Source organism: Homo sapiens, chromosome 16, assembly GCF_000001405.40.
Source record: "Homo sapiens chromosome 16, GRCh38.p14 Primary Assembly".
In the NCBI taxonomy this organism is placed as follows: domain Eukaryota; kingdom Metazoa; phylum Chordata; class Mammalia; order Primates; family Hominidae; genus Homo; species Homo sapiens.
In genome coordinates, this window is record NC_000016.10 from 67118605 (window position 1) to 67137013 (window position 18409).

Consider the following 18409-nt stretch of genomic DNA (forward strand, 5'->3'; position numbering starts at 1 on the left):
GATTACAGGTGTGAGCCACCGGGCCTGGCCCCTTGTCGCTATTTTTAAATTAAATAAAAAATAAAAAGAACTAGATATTTGTGGGATTTTAAGTAAAAATCCAGTGAAATCCTTGGTAAAATAAGTTGATTCATTGATTCTGGTGGATGAGTGATCTTAAACTTTTTTTTTTTTTTTTTTTTTTTTTTGAGATAGGGTCTTGTCTGTCACCCAGGCGGGAGCACAGTAGCACTTATCATGGCTCACTGCAGGATCAACCTCCTGGGCCGAAGCAATCCTCTCACCTTAGCCACCCCAGGACCTAGAGTAGTCCCGGCATATCCCACCATGCCCAGCTAATTTTTTTACTTTTTGTAGAGACAGGATCTTACTATATTCCCAGGCTGGTCTTAAATTCCTGGCCTCAGGCGATCCTCCTGCCCTGCCCTCCCAAAGTGTTGGGATTACAGGCATGAGCCACCACACCCAGTCCTGATTTTAAACTTTTAAAATTGTTCCTTATAAGTCATGTACTCTAATAGGCCTTCATTTCAGAGATGCAGAGACAGGTGCCAGAAAGGAAGAGAAAGGACCTATCTCAGGTCATATCTAAGCCATGGCAGAGTGAGGACCAAAACCTGGGTCTGCAGAATTATGCAGTCAGTGCTTTTCTTGCTTGGTTCTTTGATTCATACTTACTTTGCTTTCTCTGAGCGCTTGTCTGTGTCAGATCAGTGTGGAGGTCCCTGTTTCCAGGAAGACTTTTTGTATATTCACTGCCTCCCATCCCCTTCCATGCATGTCCAACCTTTTGGCTTCCCTGGGCCACATTGGAAGAAGAATTGTCTTGAGCCACACATAAAATAGACTAACACTAATGATAGTTAATGAGCTTAAAAAAAATAAAAATGTAAAAAGGGTCCATGCATCATACGCATCTTTTTTTTTTTTTTTTATAGACAGAGTTTTGCTCTGTTGCCCAGGCCGAGTGCAGTGGCGTGATCTTGGCTCACTGCAACCTCCGCCTCCTGGGTTCAAGCATTTCTCCTGCCTCAGCCTCCCGGGTAGCTGGGACTACAAGGGCAGCCACCTCGCCTGGCTAATTTTTTTTTTTTTTTTTTTTTAGTAGAGTCAGAGTTTTACCATGTTAGCTAGGCTGGTTTCAAATGCCTGACCTCAAGTGATCCTCCCACCTTGGCCTCCGAAAGTGCTGGGATTGCAGGCATAAGCCACCACGCCCGGCCCATGCATGATTTTTGTGATATCCACCACCACAGATAAGCAAAAGAGTCCTTGCATTCAAAGAGTTGGACACCTGTGCACCGTCCAAGTATTCTCTTAGTGCTTGCTGCTTAACATTATTGTAGCTCTTACTGCTTATTGAACTCTTATTTACTCATGTATCTGTAGACCTTAGTAGCCCCCAAACATCCCCAGGCTTTACTGCAGGGACCAGTGCCTAGTGAAGTGGTAGATGTCAATAGATGGATAGCCAAAATAACCACATAGGTGTCTTGCTTTATTTCAGGAATGCCTCTGGCTCAGGCAGTAGCCATTCTTCAGAAGCACTGTCGCATCATCAAAAACGTCCAGGTTCTCTACAGTGAACAGGTGAGTGGTGGCTGATTTGTTTATTGAAATAGCATCCCTCGGTAGTGAGTCACTTCCAGAGCTGATGCTTTGGGATAGGCTGACTGGCAAGGATAGCTGTGTTCGAATGGGAGAATCTCTAGCACCAGCCAGTTATCAAGTACCTTTTCTTTGATTCTGAAACTTCTGCTCTTGATTATCTAGTACAGCTAGGTTTGGAAGAGCGGTAGTAATTGAACCTTTGTTTTGTCTGTGCTCAACTTGCCTACAGGCCCTTAAACAGGGACTTTTCAGTGGTAGGTCGCTTCAGAGGCTGTCTCTGGTCTTTTAGAGTGCTTACCTTCCACTTCCGTGTTTAAAATTGTCTTTTCTGCTTTTGTTGGTTAGTTTGTGTTCAGGATTTTTGCAGTGCAGATCTCTAGCTAGCACGGCATACCAGATTTGAAAGGAAACAGATATAATTCACCCCTTTATCTCTCTCAAAGAGCAATCTTCCCACCACTGAATTCTCTGAAACCTGCAGTTCTGTGACACAGACCATGTGCTGCCATGTTGAACAGCCTTTGTGGTGTCCTGTGTGTCACAAGCCTCAGGGAATAGTTTTGAGCCTACAGAGGCTAAAGGATGTCCCCAGTGACTTTTCTGAGACCCTTTGAGTACTAGTTTGATTATTTCAGTTCCAATTAGTTTCAGATCCTAAAGCAAATGACAGCTTATTTCTGACATGAAGAATGTTGTAAATTGTAGGTAGGCAAAATTTCTGAGAGGCTTCTCAGTTTGACTTGGAGCACAGTCAGAATTGGGCCTGTTACCTATACCCAGAGATTACATTCTGCCATGTTGTACCCCTCTACCAGCCTAGTGAGACCCTCATTTGAGGGATCTGATAGAAGACATGCTTAATCTCCAAGCAAGTGCTTGAGTATTCATGTGGTGCCTATGACAGAACAGGAGACTTGTAGGAGTGGGCATGTGGTGCCTATGACAGAACAGGGGACTTGTAGGAGTGGGCAGGGGTTTCTTTTTTTTTTTTTGAGATGGAGTCTCGCTCTGTCGCCTAGGCTAGAGTGCAGTGGCACAATCTCGGCTCACTGCAGGCTCCGCCTCCTGGGTTCACCCGCCATTCTCCTGCCTCAGCCTCCCGAGTAGCTGGGACTACAGGCGCCCACCACCACACCCAGCTAATTTTTTTTTTTTTTTTTGTATTTTTAGTAGAGACAGGTTTTCACCCCATTAGCCAGGATGGTCTCGATCTCCTGACCTCGTGATCTGCCCGCCTCGACCTCCCAGAGTGCTGGGATTACAAGCGTGAGCCACCGTGCCTGGCCAAGAGTGGGCAGGGGTTTCTTAAACCACCATGGATTATCAGTGCCAAAGTGGATTCTCGTTAATTAAATTAATTTATTTACTTTTTTTTTTTTTTTGAGACAGAGTTTTGCTGTTGTTGCGCAAACTGGAGTGCAATGGTGCAATCTCGGCTCACCTCAACCTGCGCCTCCCGAGTTCAAGCGATTCTCCTGCCTCAGCCTCCCGAGTAGCTGGGGTTACAGGCATGTACCACCACTCCCAGCTAATTTTGTATTTTTAGTAGAGACAGGGTTTCTCCGTGTTGGTCAGGCTGGTCTCGAACTCCTGACCTCAGGTGATCCACCGGCCTCGGCCTCCCAAAGTACTGGGATTACAGACGTGAGCCACCAGGCTTGGCCTATTTAACTTTTAAGAAAATTTATTTTAGTTTTTTTGAGACAGTATCTTGCTTTGTCATCCAGACTAGAGTGTAGTGACATGATCACAACTCACTGCAGCCTCAATCCCCTAGGCTCAAGTGATCCTCCCACCTCAGTCTCCTGAGTAGCTGGGACCACAGGTTCATGCCACCAGGCCTGGCTAATTTATTTTTATATTTTGTAGAGATGGGGTCTCACTGTGTTTTTCAGGCTGGTCTCAAACTCCTGGACTCAAGTGATCCTCCCACCTCAGCCTCCCAAAGTGCTGGGATTACAGGCGTGAGCCACCGTGACCGGCCAAAATGTATTTCTTATATCACCATCATCATTGTCTGTTATTCCAGTATTTGGGTATAAACAGTGTTAGCATTAAGCTGATTTTCCCCAATATCTTCTGAGCAACTTTAACACATTAGCAAATATGGGTTTGACCAGGCACTGTGGCTCACACCACTAACCCCAACACTTCGGGAGGGCCGAGGCAGGAAGATTGCTTGAGTCCAAGAGTTCGAGACCAGCCAGGGCAACATAAAATAAAAAATTAACCTGGAGTGGTGGCACACACCTGTAATCCTGGCTATTCAGGAGGCTGAGGTGGGAGGATCATGAGCAGTGAGGTATGATTGTATCACTGCACTTCAGCCTAGGTGACAGAGCAAGACCCTGTCTCAAAAAAAAAAAAAAAAAAAATGGGTTTTTGAGTCTGAATCCTGATTTAGATCTCTGCTTTTCTCATTTCTAATTCATGAGAGTTGTGGCATATTAATAAGTAATCTGGTTATCTTTATGTAAAACAGTATAGTTTCTTGATAATAGAATAATCTTTGGGTTTGTTTATTTGTTTCTGAGACAGAGTCTTGCTCCGTCACCCAGGCTGGGGTACAGTGGCACGATCTTGGCTCACTGCAACTTCCACCTCCCAGGCTCAACCGATTCTCCTGCCTCAGCCTCCCAAGTACCTGCGATTACAGGCACATGCCACCATGCCTGGCTAATTTTTGTATTTTTAGCAGAGATGGGGTTTCACCATGTTGGCCAGGCTGATCTCAAACTCCTGACCTCAAGTGATCCGCCCGTCTTGTCCTCCCAAAGTGCTCGGATTACAAGCATGAGCCACCACACCCAGCCTAGGATAATCTTTGGATGAGGATCAAAAGGAGATGGTCTCTCAGAACTCTGATCTGATGCTTTTTTTTTTTTTTTTGAAGCAGCATCTTGCTCTGTCACCAATTCTGGAGTGCAGTGGCATGATCATGGCTCACTGGAACCTCCCCTACCCTTCCTCCTTTAGTTTTGCCACTCCTGGGCTCCAGCCGTCCTCCCACCTCAGCCTCCTGGGTAGCTGGGACCACAGGTGTATGCCACCACATCTGGCTATTAAAAAAAAAAAATTTGGCCAGGTGCAGTGGCTCATGCCTTTAATCCCAGCAGTTTAGGAGGCCGAGACGGGCAGATCACTTCAGGTCAGGAGTTCGAGACCAGCCTGGCCAACATGGTGAAACCCCGTCTTTACTAAAAGTACAAAAATTAGCCAGGTGTGGTGGTGCATACCTGTAATCCCAGCTACTGGGGAGGCTGGAGCAGGAGAATCACTTGAACCTGAGAGGCGGAGGTTGCAGTGAGCCAAGATCGTGCCACTGCGCTCCTAGGCAACAGAGTGAGACTCCATCTCAAAAAAAATTTTTTTGTAGAGACAGGGTCTCATTATATTTGCCCAGACTGGTCTCAAACTCCTGGCTTTAAGCATTCCGCCTGCCACGACCTCCCAAAGTGCTGGCATGAACCACCGCACCCAGCCAATGTGATGCTTCTTAAATTTGGGTCCTGTCCTCTTCTTCTGCCTACTTTATTCCCTTCCTTACCCATTTGTCTCTTTGTTTCCCAAATGCAGAAAACATTTTGTCTGCATTAAACATTTCAGAAATATGTTCTTGTCTCTATGCAAATCACACCTTGGAAATGAAATGTCAAGTACGTCCCATCTTTCTTAGAGGGAAAAGATATTAACAACTAGTAGCAGATGATTTTACTGAACTGCTTCATGTGAAGGACAGCTAGGTTACTGGAAGAACCTGCTTAAATACCACATAGTGCATGTGTATTTTGGTTTTAGAGATATAAAGTATTAATAAAACATTGACTCTGAGAGTAATTTGATTGCTTTTGAAAATTGCTAGGTTATATCCTGAATTATAACAATGCCAGGAAAAAAAAAAAAGATCAGATCTTGGGAAAGTATAGGAAAATCCAGATCCTGGCACATGCCTCCTCCAAGCAAGATTCCTGAAAGAGACTAAAATGTTGCTTCACTCTGCTTATTCCATGGAATGGCTCTCTCCAAAATGGAACTTTGTGTTCTGGGTTGATACTGGTAATCCAAGGTCATAGTTCATTGTTCCATTATCTTGCTTGAGACCTAATGGTTTAGACATTCATATAGACCTACTAGCAAATACAACATTCTTCCTTTAGTTTTTGCCAAGCATGATGGTACTATCTGGGCCTGCTGCTTTGTGGGGATCAATGGGTTGGAAGGAAGCAACCTGCCCTAATCCCAAAAGACTCTTAGGAGAGAATTTCTCCAATGAGGCCAACACCAGCAGTGGCTTATGGCCTTCCAGCCTATGTCTGTCTCTGATAGCCATATCTCCATCATTCACTTTGTCTAACTTGAGAAGCTCTATAAAGAAACTAAACCTTTGGCCGAGCACAGTGGCTCACGCCTGTAATCCCACCACTTTGGGAGGCTGAGGCAGATGGATCACGAGGTCAGGAGATGGATCACGAGGTCAGGAGATCAAGACCATCCTGGCTAACACGGTGAAACCCCATCTGTACTAAAAATACAAAAAGTCAGCCGGGCGTGGTGGCGGGCGCCTGTAGTCCCAGCTACTCGGGAGGCTGAGGCAGGAGAATGGTGTGAACCCAGGAGGTGGAGGTTGCAGTGAGCCAAGATTGTGCCACCGCACTCCAGCCTGGGCAACAGAGAGAGACTTCATCCAAAAAAAAAAAAAAAAAGTAACTAAACCTTTTGAGCAGCCATGTGTTAAAGAAGGGTGGGGTTTTAGATGGTGTTTTTCCTTCTACTATTGGGCAGCCTCAATCAGGGCTGTGGAGAATCTTCAGACATTGAATCCTTGAATTAATTGCATTGGACCAGAAGCATGCAGATGGGGCAGACACAAGAGGAGAGTGCTGTGTGCCAGGTATTGGGCTAGATGCTTTCTGACCTACTATCTCTGTCCTCATAACAACCCTGGAGGGAAGGGATGAAAGTATTCCCATGAAGAAACCAGAGCTCAGAGAAGTTTTGAGAGTTACCTAAGGTCACCAGGGTTCTGTCCACTGCTTTGTTCTGCTACTCCCCTCCCCCAGGATTCAGAAGGGGCAAATGCAGAAATATGACTCTTTAGATCTTAGACTTCGGCTTTTCAGGAAGAAGCACAAATGAAATGGGATGGGAGGCTGGGGGGAGAGAGAAAAAGGATAAGAGGGTCATCTCATAATCAGATCACAATATATTTCTTTGTCCTAGAATTTGATCTAAACCATCAAAGAATAAAAATGTGTTCCCTGTGGATGGTACAAACAGCCTGAGTGTGAATGGATGTAGGTTCAGCTGATAGGCATAAGCAATATCTGCTGAGTTTAGATCCTGGACTAGGCCTTTTCACATGACCTGTATTCCTCACCAACTGCTCTGTAGGTTCGATGGCAGTGAACTTCATTTTGCAGATGTGGACCCTGGAGCCTGAAAGGAGAATGACCTGTATACTCATATAACTTTGTCCCTTTTCCCCAGGTATTTTTACTCAAGCCCAGAAGGGAGAGGCTCTTTTCAGCCGATATTAAGAAACAGCAGCTGCAGGCTAGAAGTAAAAAACACCATATGTTCATGCAGCAGTTTTTTTCTGGTTTCCAAGCACCATTAGCTGGAGGAGAGAGGGACTGTCTGCACTTAGATATTCCTTGTGTGTTGCATTTGTATTGTAAGGCTTTCAGTAGGTGCTTAGTGAATAAATCAGTTACTCAGAATGTATTTTATTTTTGTTTTGTAGTCTCCTCTAAGCCATGACCTCATTCTTAACCTGACTCAGGACGGGATCAAACTAATGTTTGATGCTTTCAATCAGAGACTTAAGGTAACTATAAATGACAACTAATGTTTCATGTCCAGCTGGGCCAGTCTTTCTGGAGCTAATTAGTATGTGCTATTGTGAGATGTTTCAAAACTTATAAGTAGGTGTGGACTTCTTTGGTTCAGAGATCACTACAATGTAGGGAACTGAAGCTGTGCCTGTTCCCCTAAAAAGAGGGAAGATGGAAGTGGGTTGGGATGGTCAGAAAGAGGCTGGGAAGGGCTGCTTTCCCAGGCTCCAGAGGGGAAGGTGAAAGAGTGTTGAAGATTTGGGAAACATGCTGTGGGGAGGGGGCTTTCATGTCCAGTAGGAAAACAAGATAGTTTTACTTCATTCTTTTGTCAAACACTGTAACTTGGTTAGAAAATGGAAACTGTTCTTCCTAGAATGCTGGGGCTTGGGTTAACAATACCAGCAATGAGTTGATTCTTTAACCCTGGGGAGGAAATGTAAAAAAACAACTTACTAATATGTAGGGCTATCTTAATTGGCATTTGAGTGCAATTTGCTAACACCTGTTTGAGTCCAGTCTGGTTTTCTTTGTTTTTGTTTTTGGTTTTTTTTTTTTTTTTTGAGATGAGGTCTAGCTCTGTCACCCAGGCTGGAGTGCAGTGGCTTGATCTTGGCTCACTGCCACCTCCTGGGTTCAAGCGATTCTTCTGCCTCAGCCTCCTGAGTAGCTGGGACTACAGGTGCACGCCACCACGCCCAGCTAAATTTTTGTATTTTTAGTAGAGATGGGGTTTTACCATGTTGACCAGGCTGTTTTCGAACTCCTGACCTTGTGATCCGCCCACCACAGCCTCCCAAAGTGCTGGGATTACAGGCGTGAGCCACCATGACCAGCCCAGTCTTTTTTTTTTTTTTGAGACAGAGTCTCACTGTGTCACCCAGGCTGGCGTGAAGTGGTGCAATCTTGGCTCACTGCAACCTCTGCCTCCCGGGTTTAAGCAATTCTCCTGCCTCAGCCTCCTCAGTAGCTGGGACTACAGGTGCGTGCCACTACGCCCAGCTAATTTTTTGTTTCACCATGTTGGCCAGGCTGGTCTTGATCTCTTGACCTCGTGATCCGCCCGCCTCGGCCTCCCAAAGTGCTGGGATTACAGGCATGAGCCACCGCACCCAGTTCAGTCTGTTTTTGATATACCCTGTTTACAAATGCCTGGGCCTCACAGGTTAGTCATGTGACACCAGAGTCATGCCTCAAAGTCATGAGGTTGGATGGGCCCTGGGCAGTGGCATGCCAGAGTTGTTGTCCTTCTTGGGTTATGGAGTAGCCTTTCCAAAAGACTTGGGTACTTACCAGTTCTCATCATCCTTGTCACAAGTGAACTGCTAAGGAGAGAAAACAAAACATGGAAAGAGAATCAGTATGTGGAATTAGAATTCCTCATTCTATCCTGTCTCCATGGCCAGAAGTTCCACACTGGGAAAGGGCAGAGGATGATCTTCAATATCGCATAATCACAAATTGGAGCCGGGTGCAGTGGCTCACGCCTGTAATCCCAGCACTTTGGGAGGCTGAGGCGGGTGGATCACGAGGTCAGGAGATCGAGACCATCCTGGCTAACACGGTGAAACCCCGTCTCTACTAAAAATACAAAAAATTAGCTGGGCATGGTGGCAGGCGCCTGTAGTCCCAGCTACTTGGGAGGCTGAGGCAGGAGAATGGCGTGAACCCGGGAGGCAGAGTTTGCAGTGAGCTGAGATCGCACCACTGCACTCCAGCCTGGGCAACAGAGCAAGACTCCGTCTCAAAAAAAAAAAATTGGGGGGAAATTAATCTGGTAACATGGAAATTTCTTTACAAGTAGTCATTTCCCTTTGACTTGGTAAAAGTCCACTTTAGAAAATGTAACCCAGAAACACTGGGGGAAGGTAACGGTATTTCATGGTAATGAGAAGCTGGAAGTAACCTAAATGGGCAACAAAAGGGATGTCCAGCAGCCCATAAAATCACAGCATGGTGAAGACAATGTCATATGTTTAGTGAGTGCTTAGTATATGCTAGGCACATGGCTGGGTGTTTCACATGCGTTTTCTAGTTTAATCCTAACCCGCCTGTGAAGTAGGTACTGTTTACTAGCAAGAAAACCGAGGGACAGAGAGGATAAGTAGTCTACCTGATGCCAGGCTTTTAACTGGATATTGGCAATATGTGGTGGCTGACCACTTAGGCTCTGTTGATGGATCTGGGAAATAAATAAGAAAAGCTGAAGAAATGTACAGAAATATGAGGAATGGGAGGTACCTTTGGATAGGAAAGGAGATAAAATCAAACCGGCAATCCTCTTCTGCCTTCTGTGGGATCCCCATGAAGGAGAGACTGGGGTCCTGCCTGAGTCTTCTGGAAACTGAGCAAGTAATCACCCAGGTGTTTTTGATTGGCACCAGCCTGACCTGACCTATCTTCCTGCCCTTCCATCCAACACCTTCAGAATCCACCTCTTCTGATGCTGCCTCCTATAGTTGCTTCCCACCCCCTGCCTCAAGCCTAAGAGAGACAGCCCTGTGGAATGAGGCTTTATAAGTCACAACCTTTACAGCCACCTGTCTTTTCCATTTTTATCTTGGCTGCTGCCACATCTCTTCCCCTCTGGGGAAATCAGGAGCTTCTGTAGCCCAGAGATGGAAAATCATGGGCTTTAGCCTTCCCAGCTGCTTGTCCCTGTAGTGCAGCAAGCTCCAAGAGATGAAATCTGCTTATTGATGCTCCTAGTGACATGAAGGACTCCAGGATGGCCAGCACTCTGGGTCCATTGCCACAAGTGCTGCTTCGTGCCCTGTGATTAGCTCTGGTCCACTGTTTTCCCATTGATCAGGCAGGGTCGAAGCACCTATATGTGTTGGACCCGTATAGCTGTTGGCAGGTGGGGTGCCAGTGATACAGGAGGAACATCGTGCAGGCTCACTTCCACAGGGCGGGTGGTGGGAAGCTTTGGGGGATGACTGGCCAGCTGTAGGGATAGAAGTGAGGGAGGTGAGTGCCTGTGCCTGCTATGAACAGGAGGGCTTCTGGCTGAAGGTAGAGGCTCTCTGCTAGACAAGGCTCTGGCCTCAGTGAAATGGCATGCCAGTTTGGCATGATATATTCCCATGCCCAGATATTCTGAAGGGGACACTGGCTATCTTCTGAATCATAGCTGTTCCCCTGCCCTTCCTTCCACAGCCCCTCCTGGCACTTCTTTTCATGCTTTCAAGCTTCATACCAGGCAGAATTGCCTAACATGAATTGAACACCTTCCCTATGCAAATTAATGAGTCCCTCAAGGGGCTTAACTTATTGGACCACTTAACAGAATACACAAGTATGGAGGAAAGGATTCATTCCAGTGCTGTGACGGCCTAGCAGAGGGAGCAGTTCTTTCTAGCAGATAGGATCAAAAGAGCTACATTATAGTCAAGAGGTATCCAATTTGGTTCAGTGTTGTGGTCTCTAAATAAAGTTAGGGATAGGGTCTCTGGCCAAAAGCGAACCTACTATCTATTATGTCTCAGTTTCTTTGGCAGTGCCAGATGTTCCTGCATACAATGCCCCACAGCCTCTTCCACAATCAGGCTCAGATTGGCAGGACAAACAGATATTGAGCCAGCTCTGCTTGTGTCTCCACAATGAGAGCAAAACCTCCCAGCTGGAGGATGGTAGATGGTGCTCCGAGCCCCTACCTGTGCTGCTGGCTGCCAAGCCCTTGACACCATTGCATGGAGGACTTCATAGTGCTTATTACTTGGCACCACTGATGGCGGAGTGTTAGGTGATGCCTATTCCTTTATCTCTGCCCTGCCCTGAGTTCTTAGAATTTCATCTGAGGCTGAACCCATTAAAGAGCAAGCTTCACAAAGGTCCTGAGGCTTTCTTGTTTCAACCAGATCCTCTTCATCAGGGACATAACTGAATACTGTCACACTTGTGTGACAAATATTATGGCTTGCTTTCTAATGGGATAGACCTCCCCCTCCATCTTTTTGTTTTGTAAACAAAATCAACTTCAAAATAAGCTATTTTCTTTCTTTCTTTCTTTCTTTTGGAGGAGTCTCGCTCTGTCGCCCAGGCTGGGGTGCAGTGGCGCAATCTCCGCTCACTGCAAGCTCTGCCTCCCGGGTTCACGCCATTCTCCTGCCTCAGCCTCCTCAGTAGCTGGGACTACAGGCGCCCACCACCACGCCTGGCTAATTTTTTGTATTTTTCAGTAGAGACACGGTTTCACCGTGTTAGCCAGGATGGTCTCAATCTCCTGACCTTGTGATCCGCCCGCCTCGGCCTCCCAAAGTGCTGGGATTATAGGCGTGAGCCACCGTGCCCGGCCTTTTTTTTTTTTTTTTTTTTGAGACGGAGTCTCGCTCTGTCACCCAGGCTGGAGTGCAGTGGCGCAATCTCAGCTCACTGCTACCTCCAACTCCTGGGTTCAAGCGGTTCTCCTGCCTCAGCCTCCACAGTAGCTGGGATTACAGGTGTGTGCCACCACGCCCAGCTAATTTTTGTATTTTTGGTAGAGACAGGATTTCACCATGTTGGTCAGGCTGGTCTGGAACTCCTGACCTCAGGAGATCCACCTACCTGGGCCTCCCAAAGTGCTGGGATTATAGGCGTGAGCCACCGTGCCCGGCTAAAATAAGCTATTTTCTAAAGCAACCCGACCTGGGTTTTAAAATGCAGCAAAATATGAGATGGGAGGAAGGGGGCTTAGTGCCCAAAGCAGAGCCTTAACAAGCTTCATGTCTGTGGAAGAGATCATTGTCCTATAGGGTGGTGTGTGCTCCAGCCTGACCCAGAAGTGGACTGCATGTAAGAGCCTTGACCCAGAGCATCCATGGACATCTGTTGAGCAGTCCACTAGGAGAGGGAAGCTAAGAGGTTATGCTGAAGGGGACACTGGCTATGGTTATGCTGAAGGGGAAACTGGTTTTTTCCCTGGTTTCAAAATAACAAAGGACTGTCATGGTGGCTCATGCTTGTAATCCCAGCACTTTGGGAGGCTAAGACAGGAGGATCATTTGAGCCCAGGAGTTTGAGACCAGCCTGGGCAACATAGTTTTTTAGTTTTGCTAAGATTCTATCTCTACAAAAAGTTTTTAAAAAAATTTTAAATGAGAACAAAAGATAACATGCAGTGCTTCCATAAAATTTCTATTGGTAATAGTTTTTTTTTTTTTTTTTTTTACTATTTATTCTATAAATGTATTTTTAATCATTTTTAGTCTGTCATCACTTTCAGAGCATTGACAACTCTTAAACTTTTTTTTAGGTGATCGAAGTATGTGATTTGACTAAAGTAAAGTTAAAATATTGGTAAGTTTTCTCCCCTGCTGGTATATGTCACACTTGGTATAGACAGGCCATATCTACTATCTTCATAAGTTAGTAAAGATTCACATCTGTCACAGATGTGAATTATAGCCTGGTGCCATGAATTCCTGAGGCAACCTTCAAGCCTGCTCAGTTTCCTGGAGAAGAGAAGTAAACCTCATTAAGAATATGTGATGTGTTTAACACTTCATGTATATGTCATCTAACTTAATCCACTTGACAAAGCCAGACCTCAGCTCAGAGGTGATGTGACAGTCTCCTGGGTCATAGCTGCCCTCCCGCTGACAGCCTCTCTTGGCACCTCTTTTCATGTTTTCATGAGTAACAGAGGTGGGACAAACCAGATAGGTCTGACTCCAAAGCCTATGCTGAAGAGAATGCCAAAGAGACCACCATTTTAGAGCTATAATGTATTTTTTAGAATTACAGCGGGGATGACATGCACAGTCCAAAGTTGTTGCGCCCCCATTATGGCAAGGCAGCATGCCTGCATCTAAAAATCTAGAATACTCCTTCCTTTCTTTCTTTCTTTCTTTTTTTTTTTTGAGACGGAGTCTCTCTCTGTCACCCAGGCTGGTGTGCAGTGGCGCCATCTCAGCTCACTGTAACCTCCACCTCCTGGGTTCAAGCGATAGAATACTCCTTTCAGTAAGTCTCCTTAACTGGCTTCCCTTTCCCTTTTTGAGGGTGTGAAGAGGACCTGATTCCTGGGGCAGGCTCAGGCAGTTTTGCTGATAGAGGAGTAGACAAGCAAATGTGTGGTACCACTGGCCCCTGCAGGTTCTAGTTGTCTTTTAGTTTTACTGGGGCCTTCATACCTCAGGGTCTGGTGGCTTCTCTTCTCTACCCTTTTCTTAAGAGTCACTGGTGTCATAAAGCCCCAGAGGATCAACTCTGTATATCAGCCTCATGAGAACTGACCTTCTCCTGACCTCATTAATGCTCTTATTTAAAAGTTCTCTAATTAAGCTTTGTATTTTGATATAATTAGAGACTCACCTGCCTGTGTCTTAAAAATAACTCTCCCAGCTACTATCTCACATGATCTGTGGGCCCATCTTGTGAAGCCTAGTATTAAAAAATATTTTTGTTTTTCAGTGGCGTGCATTTTAATTCTCAGGCCATAGCTCCTACCATTGAACAGATTGACCAGTCTTTTGGCGCAACCCATCCTGGAGGTAAGCCAAGTCCATCTGATTCCTCTGGTCATCAGTGGCAGTTCATAGCAATAAACCTGCCCGGTAGTGCCATCCCACCCCACTTCCTGGAGTCAGGCTCCCATAGGATTGTGGGGTTGGTACTTGGGTGTGAAGGAAACATCCTCCCCCTTGTTTTCAACCTAGTAGGCCAGTTTAGAAACAAGCCACAGGGAAGGTGTTGTCAGTCATTACTCCCTGCCAGGCTGGTTTATGTTAGCCATTTCAGATGCCAGTCAACCATGTTATTTTCTTCTCCCCCACCCCCAACAGTGTACAACTCCGCTGAGCAGCTCTTCCATCTCAACTTCAGAGGACTGTCTTTCTCTTTTCAGTTAGACTCATGGACTGAGGCTCCAAAGTATGAGGTTAGCCCTTCCTGTCCCCTGGTGTTTGTTGTATGTGTCTGTGGTATGGCTCAGCAGATGGTGTCATGGGATGGGAATAGAGGAGTGGGTATTAGATAGGCAGACTTTCTTTGGTTTCCATGTATTTGAGCTCTACAGGGTAAAGTGGTAGAGTGGGTGGGTTGACAGAGGAAGAACAATGCTCAGGCTGGCATTCCGAGGAAGAGGATACTTCCCACAATGGAGTGAGGTCAGGCTCACTTTTCAGAGATAAGTTCATTCATTCCTTATTTTCAAGCTCCTAATCAACAGTTTTCCTGGTGGCCTAGAATTTGGAGATTTCATCCTCTGGATTTTCAGTTACCTTTGTTTTTGCAAACATTTCATTCATCCTAGGGGCTGTGAAAATGATAAGCTTTCATAAGACTTATTTTAATTAAGGAAGCATTTCTGCATTTTCCCCTATGAAGAAAAGGAAAACTGACCGGGCATGGTGGCTCATGCTTCTAATCCCAGCACTTTGGGAGGCCAAGGCGGGCGGATGACTTGAGGTCAGGAGTTCGAGACCACGTTGGCCAACATGGTGAAACCCTGTCTCTACCAAAAATATTAAAAAAAAAAAAAAAAAAAAACAGGCCGGGCGCAGTGGCTCACGCTTGTAATCCCAGCACTTTGGGAGGCCGAGGCGGGCCTCCTGGCTAACATGGTGAAACCCCGTCTCTATTAAAAATACAAAAAATTTAGCTGGGTGTGGTGGCGGGTGCCTGTAGTCCCAGCTACTTGGGAGGCTGAGGCAGGAGAATGGCGTGAACCCGGGAGGCGGAGCTTGCAGTGAGCCGAGATCATGCCACTGCACTCTAGCCTGGGCGACAGAGCGAGACTCCGTCTCAAAAAAAAAAAAAAAATTAGCTGGTTGTGGTGGTGCACACTTGTAGTCCCAGCTACTCAGGAAGCTGAGGCAGGAGAATCACTTGAACCTGGGAGGTGGAGGTTGCAGTGAGCTGAGATCATGCCACTGTACTCCAACCTGGGTGACAGAGTGAGACTCCGTCTCAAAAAAAAAGAAAAAAAAAGAAAAGGAAAACCAAGCAGAATTAAAGGTGGACTTACATGGTTTTGGGGAGTTTACTGACCCAGAGCCAGAGAGCCAGGTTTAAGGGTGTACTTTGACCCTTTGACCTGAGCAGCTCTTGAAGACCATGAGTGACAGGGAAGACCAGAGCCTGAGTCCCATCACCTGTTGTGCCCTAAGTAAAACTCTTGACCTTTGTTTGCAGCCCAATTTTGCCCATGGCCTGGCTTCTCTCCAGATACCCCATGGAGCAACTGTAAAACGAATGTACATCTACAGTGGCAACAGCCTGCAGGATACCAAGTAAGTATAAGGAGCATGAGTTTCTTGCTAAGGCCTGGGCTGCCTGGGAGAAAGAACCAAGCCTCTGCTCATTCTGTGTCTGTCCCCAGGGCTCCCATGATGCCTCTGAGCTGTTTCCTGGGCAATGTCTATGCTGAGAGTGTAGATGTTCTTCGAGATGGAACTGGACCTGCAGGTTTACGACTTCGCCTACTTGCTGCAGGTCAGTGACTGGCTTTGAGGTTGGTACATTCCGCATTATACCCATGTTGAGACAGTCTAAAATCCCACGTGCTTAGGGTGTGTCTCAGTCCATTCAGGCTGCTATAATAAAATACCATAAACTGAGTGGCTGCTAAACAACAAAAATTTATTTCTTGCAGTTCTGGAGGCTGGGAAGTCCAAGATCAAGGCACTGGCAGATTCAGTATCTGGATGCGCCTGCAGTCTAGTTCATAGAAGAAACTTCTCCCCGTATCCTCATATGGTGCAAGGGGCTAGTTAACTCCCTGGAGTCTGTTTTTTAACGGCACTGATCTCAATCCTGAGGTCTCTGCTTCCATAATGTAATCACCTCCCAAAGCCCTGACCTTCTAATACCATCACCTTGGTGGTTAGGATTTCAACATATGAATTTTAGGGGAACAAAAGCATTCAGTCCATTGCCACATAGTTGGTAGAAGACAAATGATGCAGATGTTTATGGTTAAAGCTTTTGTTTAGTTTTGTCAAGGGACTGGACATAGTCTTATAATTAGCAAATCTTAATAAGCAACAGCACTGCTTCTCTCAGCATGCACATAGGCCTGCTGTGTGCTTATATAGCTTTGTGACAGTTCCCAAGTGTTTCCTGGAGATGCATCCTGTGGGTTGCAGTGCTACTGCTCTCCCCTTTTTTGTTTTTTTCTTTTTCTTTTTTTTGAGACAGAGTCTTACTCTGTTGCTGAGGCTGGAGTGCAGTGGCACGATCTCAGCTTACTGCACCCTCTGCCTCCCAGGTTCAAGTGATTCTCCTGCCTCAGCCTCCCAAGTAGCTGGGATTACAGGCACGCATTAGCACACCCGGCTAATTTTTGTATTTTTAGTAGAGACAGGGTTTCACCATGTTGTTCAGGCTGGTCTGGAACTCCTGACCTCATGATCCGCCCACCTCGGCCTCCCAAAGTGCTGGGATTACAGGCGTGAGCCACCGCACCTGGCCAGCTCTCCCCTTTTTTCTACCTTTTTTTGTTTTGTTTTGTTTTGTTTTGTAAGAGATGGCCTCATTCTGTCATCCAGGCTGTAGTGCAGTGGTGCAATCATAGCTCACTGCAGCCTCAAAACTCCTGGGCTCAAGTGATCTCACCTAAGCCTCCCAAGTAGCTAGGACCACAGGCATGTGCTACCATGCCCAGTTAATTTTTGTCTATGTGGAGATGGGTCTTGCTGTGTTACCCAGAATGATCTTGAACTCCTGGGCTCAATCGATCCTCCCTCCTTGGCTTTCCAAAGTGCTGGTATTACAGGTGCAAGCCGCTACACCCAGCTTTTCTCCCTATATTATCCAGGCCGGTGTGCATTGGAATACTGTGGCCTTGAACTCCTGGGCTCAAGCAATCCTGCCTTAACCTCCTGACTAGGCTACAGGCACGCACCACCATGCCTGGCTCTCCTTTTTCTACCCTTTATGCCAAGTTCTCAACGTAGGCAAGCAGACGGGACTTGTTGAATTGTGGTTTGGCCACACCTTGGCCAGAGTTTTGCCAACCATGAACAACAACAACAAAAAGAAATAGTTGGCCGGGTGCAGTGGCTCATGCCTGTAATCCCAGCACTTTGGGAGGCCAAAGCGGGTGGATTACCTGAGGTCAGGAGTTCAAGACCAGCCTGACCAATATGATGAAACCCCATCTCTGCTAAAAATACAAAAATTAGCTGGGCGTGGTAAAGCACGCCTGTACTCCCAGCTACTCAGGAGGCTGAGACAGGAGAATCGCTTGAACTCAGGAGGCGGAGGTTGCAGTGAGCTGAGATAGCGCCATTGCACTGGAGCCTGGGCAACAAGAGCGAAACTCCTTCTCACAGAAAAAAAAAAAAAAGAGTGCCACCTTCAGTAGCTGGTCCCTCCAGGATCCATGCCTCATTTTGTGACATTCCCATGCCTGGCCAACTTCAGCTGCTTTGGGTTGTGGATCGTGCTTAACGGGACTGGGAGCTTCAGCGTGGAGTTTGTTCCCATAAAGAGAGCTGAGAACCTTCGTGGAGCTCATTGCCTAACCAGCATTTATTCGTAAATTGGGTTCCTGCATCAGTCTCTGAGGCATTGATTCCTTTTTTTTTTTTTTTTTTTTTTTTTTTGCTTCTTTTTTCTTTCTTTGAGACATGGTCTCCCTCTGTCACCCAGGCTGGAATGCAGTGGCATCATCATAGCTAAGTGCAGCCTTGAACTCCTGGGCACAAGGAATCCTTCTGCCTCAGCCTCCGAAGAAACTGGGACTACAGGTGCACACCACCACACCCAGCTAATTCTATTTTTTTGTAGACACGTGGTCTCCCTATGTTGCCCAGGCTGGTCTCAAACTCCTAGCCTTAAGCGGTCGTCCCACCTCAGCCTCCCAAATGGTTCTTAATTATTAAGAATCTGGTATATAGGCTGGACACAGTGGCTCACGCCTATAATCCCAGCACTTTGGGAGGCCGAGGTGGGCGGATCACGAGGTCAGGAGATTGAGACCATCCTGACTAACGGTGAAACCCCATCTCTACTAAAAAATAGAAAAAATTAGCCAG

The 18409-nt window shown here is 46.3% G+C and overlaps 1 protein-coding gene across 13 annotated transcripts in view; it reads left to right on the plus strand.

Moving 5' to 3' along the window:
* Positions 1–18409, plus strand: part of PHAF1 (phagophore assembly factor 1) — a 38604-nt gene that overhangs the window by 8664 nt on the left and 11531 nt on the right. For 5 of the 13 annotated variants that reach the window (NM_025187.5, NM_001320541.2, NM_001320542.2 and 2 more), the window contains 7 exons: positions 1508–1590; positions 7355–7438; positions 12682–12725; positions 13842–13921; positions 14213–14307; positions 15564–15661; positions 15751–15863. In NM_025187.5, coding sequence (NP_079463.2) covers positions 1508–1590; positions 7355–7438; positions 12682–12725; positions 13842–13921; positions 14213–14307; positions 15564–15661; positions 15751–15863 — 597 coding nt within the window. Of the gene's footprint in view, positions 1–1507; positions 1591–7354; positions 7439–12681; positions 12726–13841; positions 14308–15563; positions 15662–15750; positions 15864–16023; positions 16574–18409 lie in introns of those variants that run through there. The other 8 variants (XM_047434713.1, XM_017023731.2, XM_047434714.1 and 5 more) reach the window with 4 other exon arrangements.